This window comes from Homo sapiens, chromosome 10, assembly GCF_000001405.40.
Source record: "Homo sapiens chromosome 10, GRCh38.p14 Primary Assembly".
NCBI lineage: Eukaryota > Metazoa > Chordata > Mammalia > Primates > Hominidae > Homo > Homo sapiens.
In genome coordinates, this window is record NC_000010.11 from 28,283,851 (window position 1) to 28,299,147 (window position 15,297).

The 15,297-nt window shown below is 40.0% G+C and overlaps 1 protein-coding gene and 1 non-coding gene across 7 annotated transcripts in view; both read right to left on the minus strand.

The window, feature by feature from the left end:
* The window catches only part of MPP7 (MAGUK p55 scaffold protein 7), a 284,211-nt gene that overhangs the window by 232,858 nt on the left and 36,056 nt on the right, over positions 1-15,297 (minus strand). The window lies entirely within an intron of this gene.
* MIR8086 (microRNA 8086) lies at positions 5,408-5,500 on the minus strand. The gene has a single exon (NR_107053.1). It is a non-coding gene; the product is annotated as a microRNA 8086 (primary transcript).

The window sequence follows — 15,297 nt, forward strand, 5'->3', positions numbered from 1 at the left end:
CAGGAAAATGTCTATTTTGATAAGCAGACTTGCCATATCATACACAGCCTGTCCCAAAGGATACTTTTAGCTCCATATGCAAAAATAAGACTAAATTTAAATACCCAGTTTCAGACCCATCTGGAAATTAGAAGCACCCAGGATAACAGAAGCCAAGTCAAAATCACTTTAGTTATCATTTATTAAGTGTAAGACACTGAACTGAAAACAACTGAAATCATTTATTAAGTGTAAGACACTGAACTGAAAACAACTGAACAGATCTTGGTGGTGAGATTAATAGTTGGTATGAACACCAATGATTAAGTAAAGTACTTTACTGAGGATACCACTCTGAAATGCACATGAAAGGAAGCACACAGGAAAAACCAGTGTCACCAAGATCCCTGCTGATCAAGGACAGCTGTTAACTGGTTCCCAGGAGGGGTACACAAATGTACACAGACATTTATATAATCTTCTGTTGTCTAGGCACCAAGTCTTGTGTATTCAGTAATCACTCAAATCATGAGAAGGAATTCAGGGAGGGAGCAGCAGCTTAAAAACAGGTCTGGCCTGAAGCAGGAGGACCTGTTTCAAGTCACAGGCAGCATTAGCAGGAAGAAGCCAGTGAAGTCTGCAGCTGAAGACTGAAGAAAGTTGCCTTCCCTTCCTTTCTCCTCTCACCCTAATTCCAATAGGACCTCTTCAGTCTCATCTGACTGCCCCCTCTACATAATAGGTTTCACTGACTGCTTCCATTTTTTCCGAAGAAAACTTTATCTTATTGTCTATCAGACATTTCTCAAAATTATGAATTTTAAAGTGGGGGGAATATTGGAGTAAATAGAACTTTTGTTTGCATTCCACCCATGGAATGATTGTAACAAATCAATGTAACAAGAACAGAGGTCAACTTTTCACTTACTCTATTATGAACCTTGAAGGCAAGGATGCTTTATACATTTTTGAATCTGATCTCAGAATACAATATAAGATACATAAAAGGATAATGACATGCAATGAATACATCATTCTAAAGACAAGAACAAGTGTTTTAATTTTTTTATTCCCATTTAACAGCCCCAAGATGTCTCAGCCATTATTTTTTTATTTCAAGTGAATTAAGCTACTTTCAGAATAGAACAAAATGACTTTTCTATTAATAGTTTCCTTTAGATTTGCTTCTAAAAACCAGACAATTTAGCTTGGTGTTTCCAACAAAAATGCTGTAGAGACCAATTTAATTTACACAACCTGAACAGTCCTGTTCTAAGGGACTAATCTAAGAGACCAGCTCATAATATTGAAAACTGATGTTAAAAACAAAAACAAAAAAGAATCAGGCATTTAACCTACCTTTTCTTTTTTTGAGATGAAGTTTCGCTCTTGTTGCCCAGGCTGGAGTGCAATGGCGCAATCTTGGCTCACTGCAACCTCCACCTCCTGGGTTAAAATGATTCTCCTGCCTCAGCCTCCCCAGTAACTGGGATTACAGGCAACACGCCACCACACCCAGCTAATTTTGTATTTTTAGTAGAGACGGGGTTTCTCTGTGTTGGTCAGGCTGGTCTCCAACTCCCGGCCTAAGATGATCCGTCCACCTCGGCCTCCCAAAGTGCTAGGATTACAGGTGTGAGCCACTGTGCCCAGCCAACCTACCTTTTCTGTACTAACTAGATCTCAAAGAGTTGATGAGGGGAAGTTTCTCTTCATAAAAATATTCTAATAACTAAAACAGGAAAACAATAAAAATATCACCATTTTGCAAACCCTTGATAAAATAATGGATCTAGGCAATGGTTATCAATGGTCATGAACACTACAAAAAGTGAGACAACCAATATTACCTGACTGGGGTGAGAAGTACAGGCCACCACCTACGAAGTAGTTTTGCCAAAAAAAATAGAAACTGAATCAAATCAAGATCTGATTACTATTTACAGGCATTAAAAGAACAAAAGAACATGTTAAACCATTCATTAAACAAAAAGCATTACAACAGGTGGTAGCCTGTTTTTTTTTTTATTTAATTATGATAACCAAACAAGTACTTTTTGATAAATGAACATAACTTTCTTCATGTTCTCTTTGTGATTATCTTCATCTTAAAAGATGAGGAAAGTCTATCAAGTACAAGCATGTTTATGGATGTGCTTATTTATTGTGTAAGACAACAAAATGTACAACTTTGTACAGGTCAGGAGTTGCCTATCTCAAAAATATTTTCTTTCGCCCGGGATGGTGGCTCATGCCTGTAATCCCAGTACTTTGGGAGGCCGAGGTGGGCGGATCACAAGGTCAGGAGTTCGAGACCATTTTGCCTAACACAGTGAAACCTCGTCTCTACTAAAAATACAGAAAAAATTAGCCAGGCATGGTGGTGGTCGCCTGTGGTCCCAGCTACTCAGGAGGCTGAGGCAGGAGAATGGCGTGAACCCGGGAGGCAGAGCTTGCAGTGAGCCGAGATCACGCCACTGTACTCCAGCCTGGGCAACAGAGCGAGACTCCACCTCAAAAAAAAATAATAATAAAAAATAAAAAAATAAAAATTTCTTTCCTAGCGTTACTAAACTTCCTTTCACTTGGAAAACTACAGCACAGCTGAGCCAAGAAGTAACTGGTCCCTGCTTCTAAAATGACAGCTTTAGGAGTAATAAGCAAAGAAGAAGCTGGATGCAGTTGAGCAACCTCAGAGGAGACAGATCACTGTGAGGAGCCCACTTTCAACTGAACTGGCACCAGCTGTTCTCAAAGTGCTCCAAGACACCCTGGGGGTCCTCAGGCACCTTTCAGGACGTCCATGACATCAAAATTATCATTATAATAATGCAAACAGGTCATTCACAACTTTCATAGGCTGACAGGAAGCACTGATGATCAAAGCAAGGGTGTATAAAATTGCTGGCCCCTTAGCACAAATCAAGACAGTGGCACCACCAGTATAGGTCCTCATGACCACTGCGAACTCACAGTGGGAAAAAAAAAGGACGGTTTCATATAAAAATATCCTTGATGAAACAGTGAACATTAGCAATTGCATGAAATCTCAACCCCTGAGTATGTGCCCTTTTGACCTTTTTAATATTCTTTGTGCTGAAATAGGAAAGTTCACATGAAGGAGCTGTGCGGCATACTGAAGTATGGAGGTTGCCTGAAGGAAAAGAATTTATGCCAACCGTTTGATCAACAAGCTGAACTAGCAGTTTTTGTTTATAGAATATCATTTTTACATGAAATAAAAACTAAAAGTATTAGTATTTAAAGTTGGGTATTTGGCACACACTTTCTCAAACGCAAAATTAGCCTGTTGCTTCAAAAAAAAATAATAACTGACCTATTTGTTGCCAATGATAAAAGTCAAGCCTTCAAACAAAAATTAGATACTTGGAAAAATTGTATCTGCCACCAAGAGTGTGACAGCTTTCCCAATATGCAGACGGTTAATAAGACGGTATTGTGTCCTTAAAAATTTGTAGAGGGTAGATCTCATGTTAAGTGTTTTTAATACACAAAATAAAAATAAAACACAAAGACACAAGGAAACTTTGGAGGTGATGGACACGTTTATCACCTGGATTGTGGAGATGGTAAATGTAATATAAAGTTTATTTGCAATGTGGAATATGGAGCCATATGAGTGAATGTTTCTCACTTTGTGGTATTTAAATCCATTGGTCTTTCTTTCATTTTGGATCTTTCTTATTCATGCATGATTTGGAAAATACTGGCTCATGGAAATAAATGTTAGCACATTTTATAATGCCAAATACAGGAGTGTATACATTTGTCCAAACTCAACAAATTCTATACATTGATTATATGCAGGTTTTTGTATACCAATTATATCTCAATAAAGCTGGAGGGGAAGAAGACTTTTCAAGAGATGACCGCTGATTTCAACAAATGTAATTTTTTTCTAATGGTATTATAAAATGTGCTAACATTTAATTCCATGAATCAGTATTTCCCAAATGATACATGAGTAAGAAAGATCCAAAATGAAAGACAGGTCAATGGATTTTAATGCAACAAAGTAAGAAAAGTTTACTGATATGGTTTCAGATTCCACACCGCAAATAAGCTTTAAGAAATGGCCACTTGCAGAGTTTGATGTAGCATCAAAGGGAATATCCACAATTATCAGAAAAGACTATTAAAACACGCCTCCATTTCCAACTACAGATGTGCCTGAGGTTGGATTTTCTTCACATATTCCAACCAAACAACAAATCACAACAGATTGAATGCAGAAGCAGTTATGAGAATCCAGCTGCTTCTACGAAACCAGACGTTATAGAGAACCGCAAAAATGTAAACCACCACCACTCTTTCCCTAAACTATCTTTGTAAAGGTATTTTTCATACAGAAGTATTATTTATGTTCATATACAAAAGGGTTATTATGTTTTGATTTTTAGTTTTTATGAGACAGGGTTTCGCTCTGTCACTCAGGCTGGAGTGCAGTGGTGTGATCATGGTACACTGCAGCCTCAACCTCCTGGGCTCAAGCAATCCTCCTGCCTCAGCCTCCCAAGTAGCTAGGACCACAAGTGCACACTACCATATCCTGTTAATTTTTTAAATTTTTTGTAGAGACAAAGTCTCACTATGTTGCCCAGGCTTGTCTCGAACTCCTGGCCTCAAGTGATCGTCCCACCTCGGCCTCCCAAAGTGCTGGGATTGCAGGAATGAGCCACCACACCCAGCCAGGTTATTATGTTTTATTGAATTCATAAATACTCTAAAATTTCCCACTTATATTTCTAATATGGTAAACATTGATAGATATAACTCATGTAAAGCAAAGGTCTTTGAGGTCCTTAATAATTGTTAAGAGCGTGAAGCGGTACTGAAACAAGTCTGAAAACTGCAGCTCCAAGGATATGGAGCTGAGGTCAAGGCTGTGCTTGTTCAAGTGAGCCTTCAGGAATTACCTTATTCTTTGAGTTCCTGTTTGAACAAACGCTAAAAGTTGGAAGCTCAGCAGAGCCCAATGTCTGGCCTAGAGCACCAAGAACCACCAGCCACAGCCATCCTGAGAAAGGGCCTTATGAGCAGAATATTTTGTATTAGGCTCGGGTGTGAGGTTAGAAGACCTCGGGTGGGGGAAGTCAGCAGCACTTTTTCCTTCTTAGCTCAGCACATACCTCTTTCTTGAGATTCTGGTCTCAAAAATAGCTAACCAGGCCAGGCATGGTGGCTCACACCTGTAATCCCAGCACTTTGGGAGGCCGAGGTGGGCGGATCATTTGAGGTCAGGAGTTCGAGACCAGCCTGGCCAAAATGGTGAAACCTCGTCTCTACTGAAAATACAAAAAATTAGCCAGGTGTGGTGACACACACTTGTAGTCTCAGCTACTCAGGAGGCTGAGGCAGGAGACTCGCTTGAACCCAGGAGGCGGAGGTTGCAGTGAGCCAAGACCATGCCACTGTACTCCAGCCTGGGCAACAGAGCCAGACTCCATCTCAAAAAAAAAAAAAAGCTAACCATATCAGTCCAGACTAGCAGACTAGTGGATTAAGGAAGCTGAGATGAACTGTTTCCCGTGCGCTTCCTCCTCTGGTTAACTCAAGAAATATCAAAACAGCCATCCCAACCAACAGAAATCTCTGCCTTTTTAACAGACTGGTAAATTCTTCAGGACCAGACTTAACACAAAAGTCACTTAAATCTTAAGAACTGGGGCAAGAAGTGCAGTCTCAGCTCTCCAATATTTTTTTGCGTGTTTAAGAGATGTGTGGCCAAGAGCTCACAAATACAGTGTCTAAGGTGAGTGGGCCACTATGGAGACTTTGCCCTTGAATCTGCGTGAAACGGCAAGGTTCTGAGCAAATGAGTGACAGGATCCACCCGAACCCACTCTGGGCTTTGGGTGGAGAAATGGAGAAAAGGTTTTAGGGGCAGGGGCAAGAGCAGAGAAGTCACTACAGTAAGCCACATGACAGATAATGATTTACTTCTTCCCAAAAAGGCCGAAACATTGATTTTATTTTTTTCCTCTTTGAGACAGAGTCTCATGCTGTCACCCAGGCTGGAGTACAGTGGTATAATCTCGGCTCACTGCAACCTCCGCCTCCCTGGCTCAAGCAATGCTCCCATCTTAGCCACCCAAGTAGCTGGGACCATAGGCATGTGCCACCACGTCCAGCTAATTTTTGTATTTTTTGTAGAGATGGGGTTTCACTATGTTGCCCAGGTTGGTCTCAAACTCCTGAGTTCAGGCCATCCATCTGCCTCGACCTCCCAAGGTGTTGGGATTACAGGCGTGTGCCACTGAGCCCAGCCAAACCATTGATTTCTAATGCTATTACGCTACTATTGATACATACAGTACATAAAGATCTTCTATTAGTTTCTCTTGGAGCAATAACAAAATAAAAGTATGCCTTGTATTGATGCCCTATATCCTTTACTAAGTGGCCCCACTCACGAATTACAGTCTTTTTACTTTCCTTTTTTTTTTTTTTTTTTTAACATAGAGAGTATTTCCAGCATATACTAAACTGGAGGAAAGAGTATAATACTACAAGGAAACTTCTTGAACTTCTTACCTACCTTCAATTTATGGCCAGTCTTACTTTATCTGCAACTGCCCCACCTCCCCATCCCAGCTTATTATAAAGTCATTTTTAATCAGATTTTGTTTTGTTTTGTTGAGATAAGAGATTCGCTTTTGTTGCGCAGGCTGGAGTGCAATGGCACAATCTCGACTCACTGAAACCTCTGCCTCCCAGGTTCAAGCGATTCTCCTGTCTCGGCCTCCCGAGTAGCTGGGATTACAGGCGCATGCCACCACAACCAGTTAACTTTTGTATTTTTAGTACAGATGGGGTTTCATCACATTGGTCAGACTGGTCTCGAACGCCTGACCTCAGGTGATCCACCCACCTCAGCCTCCCAAAGTGCTGGGATTACAGGCATGAGCCACCACGCCCGGCCCCAATCAGTTTTCTTATTAAACAAAAAGGATTTTAGGAAAACAGACTAACACGTGAAAGAAGTAACTCACCTAGAATCTTAATGCCCATTACTGATATGAATTGAACTGTTTTTATTTGAACATTCACACTCATACAGATATGAATTAACAGTACATGGACAATATAGAGTTGTACATGAAAATTAACTTATTCTCTTGTTACAAAATTAGGATTATCCTGATGACACGATTTTGTAAACTTTTGCCACCATATATTAACAATGTCCATGGAGAAGAAGAATAAATGCCTACTGCTGCACAGTTTAGGATGTTTCTAGTATTTCAGGATATTAGAATATTATCATGAACAGCTACATATATAAATTTAGTGAACATCTACTAACATGTACTAGCAAATGCCAAACATGCAATAATGTAAAGAAAAATGGACTCCCAGGTAACGCAAAATACAGCAACTGCTATAACCACTGATGCTGGCAAGACCAGGAAAAGTAGCTCCTTTGGATAGGATGACAGCTAGAAACATTAACTAGGGATTAAGACTGATATTGGCAGGGTACGGTGGCTCACGCCTGTAATCCCAGCACTTTGGGAGGCTGAGGCGGGTGGATCACTTGAGGCCAGGAGATTAAGACCAGCCTGGACAACATGGCAAACGCCGTCTATACTAAAAATAGAAAAATTAGCCAGGTGTGGTAGCACATGCCTGTAATCCCAGCTGCCTGGGAGTCTGAGGCACGAGAATCCCTTGAACCCAGTGGGGCAGAGGTTGCAGTGAGCCAAAGATCGCACCACTGCACTCCAGCCTGGGCGACAGAGACAGAGAGAGACACTGTCTCAAAAAAAAAAATTAAATAAAGACAGTAATACTGATGATCCTGACCCTGTGTAGGCCTAGGCTAAAGTGTGTGTTTGTGTCTTAGTTTTACATTTTAAAAAATTTTTTTAATAAAAGAAAATATATTTGTACACTATAAAATGTGCTTGTGTTTGAAGCTGTGTTATTACAAAAGAGTCAAAAGTTAAAAACCATTTATAAGTTTATCAGGCAAAAAAGTTAAGCTAAGCTTTGTTTATTACTGAAGAAAAAACACTTTTTAAATGAACATAGTGTAGCCTAGACATAGTGCTTATAACGTCTACAGTAGTGAGTGTACAGTCATGCCCTAGGCCTTCACATTCACTCACCACCCACTCACTGACTCACCCAGAGCAACTTCCAGTCCAGACACATGTAACGTGTCCCATGCAGGTGGACCATGTTTAATCTTTTTTACCATATTTTTACTATACTTTTTCTATGTTTACAGATGTTTAGATATACAAATACCATTATGTTCCAGTTGCCTACAGTATTCAGGACAGTAACCTGCTGCACAGGTTTGTAGCCTAGGAGCAACGGGCTATACCATATAACCTAGGTGTGTAGTAGGCTGTGTTATCTACATTTGTGTAAGTGCAGTCTGCGATGTTCACACAATGACGAAATCACCTAATGACACATTTCTCAGAACATATCCCTGTTAAGTGATGCATAGTTGTCGATATATGTAGGATTCCCCTACACCAGGGGAAATAAACAATAGAAAATACAACAGAAGAAAAAATGGCATTCACAGTAGAAACAGAAGCTGAACTAGGGTCTCTTACTGTAACAAAGAAGACAAGATCATTACGGAAAAAAAAAAAAAATCTGACCTCCATTGAATAAAACATTAATACCACTGATAAGTGGTTTCCACTCGGGATATAGATCAGTGTCACCAGAGGAGATTTTAAAAAATACAATTGCTAGACTCCACTCTCTAGAGATTATAATTCAGTTCATCTGTGGTCAATGGGACATATTTTTTTAAAAGCTACCTAGCAAATTCTAATATAAAGCCATGGTTGAAAACTACCAGTTTAAATATGTTTTTAAAATAACACAGGAGGGAGTCATTCTTCTAGATATCAAAATATATAAACAAGTTGTAGCAATAAAAATAAAAGCAAAATCCACTGTGAAATTAGAACAGAAACAGACAAATTGATCAGAACAGAGCAGGGAGCCTAAAAAGGTGAGAGAGAGAGAATGTGTGTGTCTGTGTCTCTGTGTGCATATATACGAGTGTGTGGATCTTGACATATGATACAGGTAGCATCACAAACCACTAGGTTATTTAGTAAATGAGATTTGGGAAAATTCGTTTGCCATAGAAGAAAATACAGAAACATAACTTTGTTAACTAGGAATGGAGAAATATTTCCTACACAAGACCCAGAAGGTTAAAAAAAAAAAAAAAAGGTTGGATCATAACAAAATTAAAGATTCCGTTTAATGAAAGATTTCAAAGAAAAAATCTGACAGGTGAAAAACAAAAGATGCGTATACCATTTAAAATCCAACGAGAGACTGAAAAAAGAAGAAAACTGCTATAAATTAGGGCAGAAAAATGGGAAACAGATATGAAAAGCTAACAGAAAAAGAGGCAAAGGATATATAAATGGCGAACTCAACCGAGGAAAAACACACACAGTATACGATAGGATATTCCACTGCATTAGTAATCAGATAGCTGCAAATAAGAACAATAACATATCACTTTGTGCTGGATTGCTCCATCTGTTGCATCAGATTGGAAAAAATTATAAGGTCAGAAAATGCCACATGCCAGCAAGAATGCAGGGAGCAACAGCTGGTGAAAGTGTCAATGAGATAACAATCTGGTCGTACTTAAGGGAATTATGCATATGCCAGAGAGAGGGTCCCCTGGGGGCAAGGAAGAACATGAATGGGGATAGGTGATGAAGGGGAAAGATACAATAAAATAAGGTGGGAGACTCTACACGGACCAATCATGACAGTGTGCCATGAAGTGAGTGCTAACTCCAGTCCGAGCCCCTGAGCTGGGGAGGGAGCGGAGCGGGGCAGCTCCGCGTCACAGGTCCCTTCACCCAACCAGCAGGTATTCAGTCTCTACATACCAGGAACTGCATCCCATCCTAGCGACCGAGTAGCAAAAGATCAAGCCCTTACCCTCATAGGGTTTATGTCCTAGTGAAGGAAACAATAAAAAGGAAACAAATAAGATAATGATAAGAGAGTGTTAACAGCTAACAAGTAAGACAGTGATAGTGACAGAAAGTGATGGAAAGAGGGTTTCACTAATGAAAGGATAGCCAGAGGTGAGATCCCGCAGGTCTGCAGAAAGAAAATGAACCAGGCATTCAGCAAGCCGAGAGATGAGATCCCAAAGAATTGCGTTCAAGGGCTGGGCGTGGTGGCTCACGCCTGTAATACCAGCACTTTGGGAGGCCGAGGCGGGCGGATCATGAGATCAGGAGATCCAGACAATCCTGGCTAACACAGTGAAACCCTGTCTCTACTAAAAATACAAAAAAATTAGCCGGGTGCCTGTAGTCCAGTTTAAATATGTTTTAAACTGGAGGCTGAGGCAGGAGAATGGCGTGAAGCCGGGAGGTGGAACCTGCAGTGAGCTGAGATCACACCACTGCACTCCAGCCTGGGGGACAGAGCAAGACTCCGTCTCGAGAAGAACTGCGTTCAAGGTCATCAAATACAAAGTTGTCATAGTACAGGCGACAGTGTGTTCTAAAGATGACTTTCAGGTACTTCCTGTCATTCAGCTCCCAGAAGCAACCTTCAAAATACCTGTTATATAAAATGTAAACTATAAGGGTTATTGTGAGAGTCCAACATACGGTGATTAAAGAATGCAAACTTTTTGAAGGGGAAGAGGGAGGAGGCAGCATCGATATGAATGTGCTATGCCTCTAAAAAATGTTTCTGGAAAATTACTAGGATCCACAAACTTTTCCTTCACTCCTTAAAAAGTAATTGAGTAATCATATTTTTTCCCCAGCACAGTGCCAGGAAATGAGGTTAAGTATTAAATTTTCTGTCTTTGCTTCAATTGTATAAGATGCAGGATCCTATTTATTTTATATACGTACTGTTTTTATGGATAAAAGAAAACATTTATTGCATGCTTGCAATCTGCAAGGCCCTGTTCCCTGAGCTTCTACACATTGGAGCCCACTTACATTCACAACAAAATACTATATTATTTCCACTTTAGAGACGGAACAACAGAGGTTAAGAAACTTGCCTAAAGTCAAAGTACTAGAAAGCAGCAGAGCAGAGATTCAAACCCAGGTCTTTCAAAGTGTTAACCACTACACTTACGTTTCCCCCTAGAGTGGCTGGCCCCTGCAGTGGCTGTAGCACATGGCCTTAGAACTTATTAGAAATGCAAATCGCCAGGACCTCCCCTCCCAGACCGACTGATCAGAAATTCTGGGGCTGGAAGGCAGCTGCCTAAGGTTTCACAAGCCCTCCGTGTGATCCCAAGGTATGCTAAAGTTTGAGAACCACTGGTAGAAATTTTTCATACTAAGCATAATGTGAAAGGTGAAATTACTACCATTTTGAAACTTCTAAAATATAAAATTTGTATCCTATTTAAAATGACTATGAAGAAACGAAAACAGTGTTAGTTCATTTCCTCACTGCTCAACTTCTTTCTCCCAAACTTGACAAAATGCCTAATCTCTATCCTGATTATACTATGTACAAAAAGGGTACTCTGATGAGCGTTAGAGCACAGAGGTCTGAACTCACTCTTCAGAAGTAATCAGAAGCCATAATAGGAAGAGAAAAAAACAATATTTTGAATATCAGCAGAAGCTTGATAAATCTTGGGCCATAACTCCAAATTTTGATCCCAGGCTCAACTCCAAATTTTTACAACATGACTTCAACAGTCTTCCCAATGCCAAAAAAAGAAGTTACAACCCCGAGAAATATTTGATTAACAAGATTCAAACTGCTTTAAGTGCACATACAGAGAAACTGTCCAAGAGTGTGTTTTTATCAGGAGTGAAGCTAAGGAATGCCTAATTACACATCAGACCCTCTGACAATATTCACAGCAAAAGGGGTTAACGTTATCCCTGTCCCTGCACACACCTGCCGTGTACGGCATCCTACCTGATCCTTCTCTTTTCAAAGCTATATCTAGACCGGGAGACTTTTCTCCCCAACTCAAGTACTCAATTTGAGCAGTACAGCTCTATGTGTATTCAAGTTTGCCTATTTCTAATAAGGCCTTTTTTTGTTGTTAAAGGGATGGAAGAAAGAGTATGAGAAATAAGTATATTCAAGCACCTACCATAATCTGAAATCTTCCATAAGCCAAATAACTCTCTGAAGCTATTCACTCGCATACTCAAGTCATTAATTTTATAAATTTCAGGTTTCTACTTATTCCAAAAATTTAAAACATAAAATTGAAGATTAAGGAGTACTTAGTCCAAGCTTGGACCACAGGAGAGCTATAAACCTGTCTTAAAATGCTTAATGACCTGATTAAGGTCATCAAAGGTAAAGAAAACTCTAGGAAGCAGCCTTTTAATCTGCCTGGCTACTTACAACCACCCACCTTTTCCATGCCCACGCTCTCCTAAGGGCTGAAGGCACTGCCAAGAATGACCTTCCTAGAAGGGCTGAATCCTATTTATTTTCTCTCTCCCAAATCTCCACCAAATCCCCTAAGAACTGGCAGTGTTCTGGTAAGAAACAATTTACTATTGCTCTCCTCCCCACCCACAGTTCAGTGCAACTGAAGTGAACACACACACACCCCAACCACTGAAAGACTTTCTCACTTAGATTCCTATCCTGCATTTTCAAAGTCCAAAGTTGTCTTCAAAATATCTTGCAAAATGCAGTCGTACCAGCTAGTCTTTAATCTCCACTAACATTGCCAGTTCTATACCCAAAATGGATATCGCAACTGCTATGTATTTTCATCTCCCTTCTCTAACAATCAGTAACAAGCAACCCAATCAGTAATAAACAAGCCTGACAAATAGCTCCTAAATTCACAGAGAAAAGAATGGTCTCCTCTCTTTCATAAGTAAAGCAAGCTGATAATGTTCTAGTAAATAGAAAGACTAAATGCCTCTTCAAGAAAAAAACATTTATATGCCTGGAAAAAACATCTTGGGTTTTTTTGTTTTTGTTTTTTTACTTAAGTATCTGTTCATAGTAGGTAGCAAATAATCTTTCCACACATATGCACTTTACCAGTTCTTTTAAAGACTCAGTAATCTAAGAAAGCAAAGCATAAGACTATGCTGAAAGAGCTAAGCCGCAGTTTACATAAAATTTAAACAAAACACAAGACATTAAAAAAATTCAACTACTCATAAATAAAGACCAATAAATCTACACTTTGGTCTGGGTTTCTGAACACAGGAAGAATCAGAGGGTTCAATAGGAGAGGTTATTTCTGAAATCGTAGGCATACCTTGAAGATATCACATGTTCCATTCCAGACCACCTTAGTAAAACTAACACTGCAATAAGGTAACAGAAATGTTTCTGCTTTCCAAGTGCATATAGAAGTTATATTTACAGTATACTGTAGTCTATTATGTTGGCAATAGCATTAGCTCTTAATTTTAAAATGCTTTATAATTTTTTTAAAATGCTAGTGATCATCCGAGCCTTCAGGGAGTCATAATCTTTTTGCTGGTGGAGGATTTTGCCTTGATGTTGATGGCTGCTGACTGAACAAGGTGCTGGCTGCTGAAAGATGGATGGCTGTGGCAATTTCTTAAAATAAGAAAACAATAAGGCCGGGCGCTGTGGCTCACGCCTGTAATCCTAACACTTTGGGAGGCTGAGGTGGGTGGACTGCGTGAGCTCAGGAGTTCAAGACCAGCCTGGTCAACAGAGTGAAACCCCATCTCTACTAAAATATAAAAAATTAGCCAGCTGTGGCAGTGTGCACCTGTAATCCCAGCTACTCAGGAGGCTGAGACAGGAGAATCTCTTAAACCTGGGAGGCGGAGGTTGCAGTGAGCCAAGATCGTGCCATTGCACTCCAGCCTGGGCAACAGAGCGAGACTCCGTCTCAAAAAAATAAAAAAAATGAAGTTTGCCACATCAACTCACTCTGCCTTTCAGAAAAGATCTCTCTTTTGGTAGCATTTCACCCACAGTAGAACCTCATTCACAATTGAAGTCAATCCTATCATACCCTGCCACTGCTTTATTAACCAAGTTTACAGAATATTGTAAATCGTTCATTGTCATTTCAACAATGCTCACAGCATCTTCACCAAGAATAGACTCTCTCTCAAGAAGCCACTTTCTTTGCTCATTCAGAAGAAGCAACTCTTCATCCATTCGAGTTTGATAATAAGATTGCAGCAATTCAGTCATATTTTCAGGGTCTACTTCTAATTCTAGTTCTCAGTATACTATTTCCACCACATCTGCAGGTACTTCTTCCACTGAAGTCTTGAACCCCTCAAAGTCATCCATGAGAGCTGGAATCAACTTCTTCTAAATTCCTGTTAATGGTGACATTTTGACCTCCTCCTTTGAATCACAAATGCCCTTAATGGCATCTAGAATTGTGAATCCTTTCCAGGTTTTCAATTTACTTAGCCAAGATCCATCAGAACAATCACTATCTATGGCAGCTATAGCTTTACAAGATGTGCTTCTTAAATAATAACTCTTGAAAGTTGAAATGACTCCTAGATCCATGGGTACAGAGTGGATGTTGTGTTAGCAGGTATGAAAACATTAATTTCCTTGTACATCTCCATCAGAGCTCTTGGGTGACCAGGTGCATTGTCAATGAGCAGCACTTGTTCAATGGTACCCTTTCTTCTGAGCAGTGGGTCTCGACAGTGAGCTTAACAGATTCAGTAAACCACGCCATAAACAGATGTACTGTCATCCAGGCTTTGTCGCTCCATTTATAGAGCACAGGCAGAGTAGATTTTGCATGACGCTTAACAATTTTTGGAATGGTAGATGAGCAGTGGCTTCAACTTAAAGTCACCAGCTGCACTAGCTCCAAACAAAAGAGTCAGCCTGGCCTTTGAGGTGAAGCACTGACTTCCTTCTAGCTAAGAAAGTCCGAGACGGCATCTTCTTCCAATATAAGGCTGTTTCATCTACACTGAAAATCTGTTGTTCAGTGTAGCCACCTTCATCAGTGATCTTAGCTAGATATTCTGGATAACATGCTACAGCTTCTATATCAGCATTTGCTGCTTCACCTTGCACTTTTACATTAGGGAAGCAGCTTCTTTCCTTAAACCTCATGAACCAACCTCTTCTAGCTTCCAACTTTTCTTCTGTAACTTCCTTACCTCTCTCAGCCTTCATCGAATTGAAGAGAGGGTTTTGCTCTGCTGGCTTAAGGGAATGTTGTGGCTGGTCTGATCTTCTATCCAGACCACTAAAACCTTCTCTATATTAGCAATAAGGCTGTTTCACTTTCTTATCATTTGGACGTTCAGCAGAGTAGCACTTTTAGTTTCTTTCAAGAACCTTTCCTTTGCATTC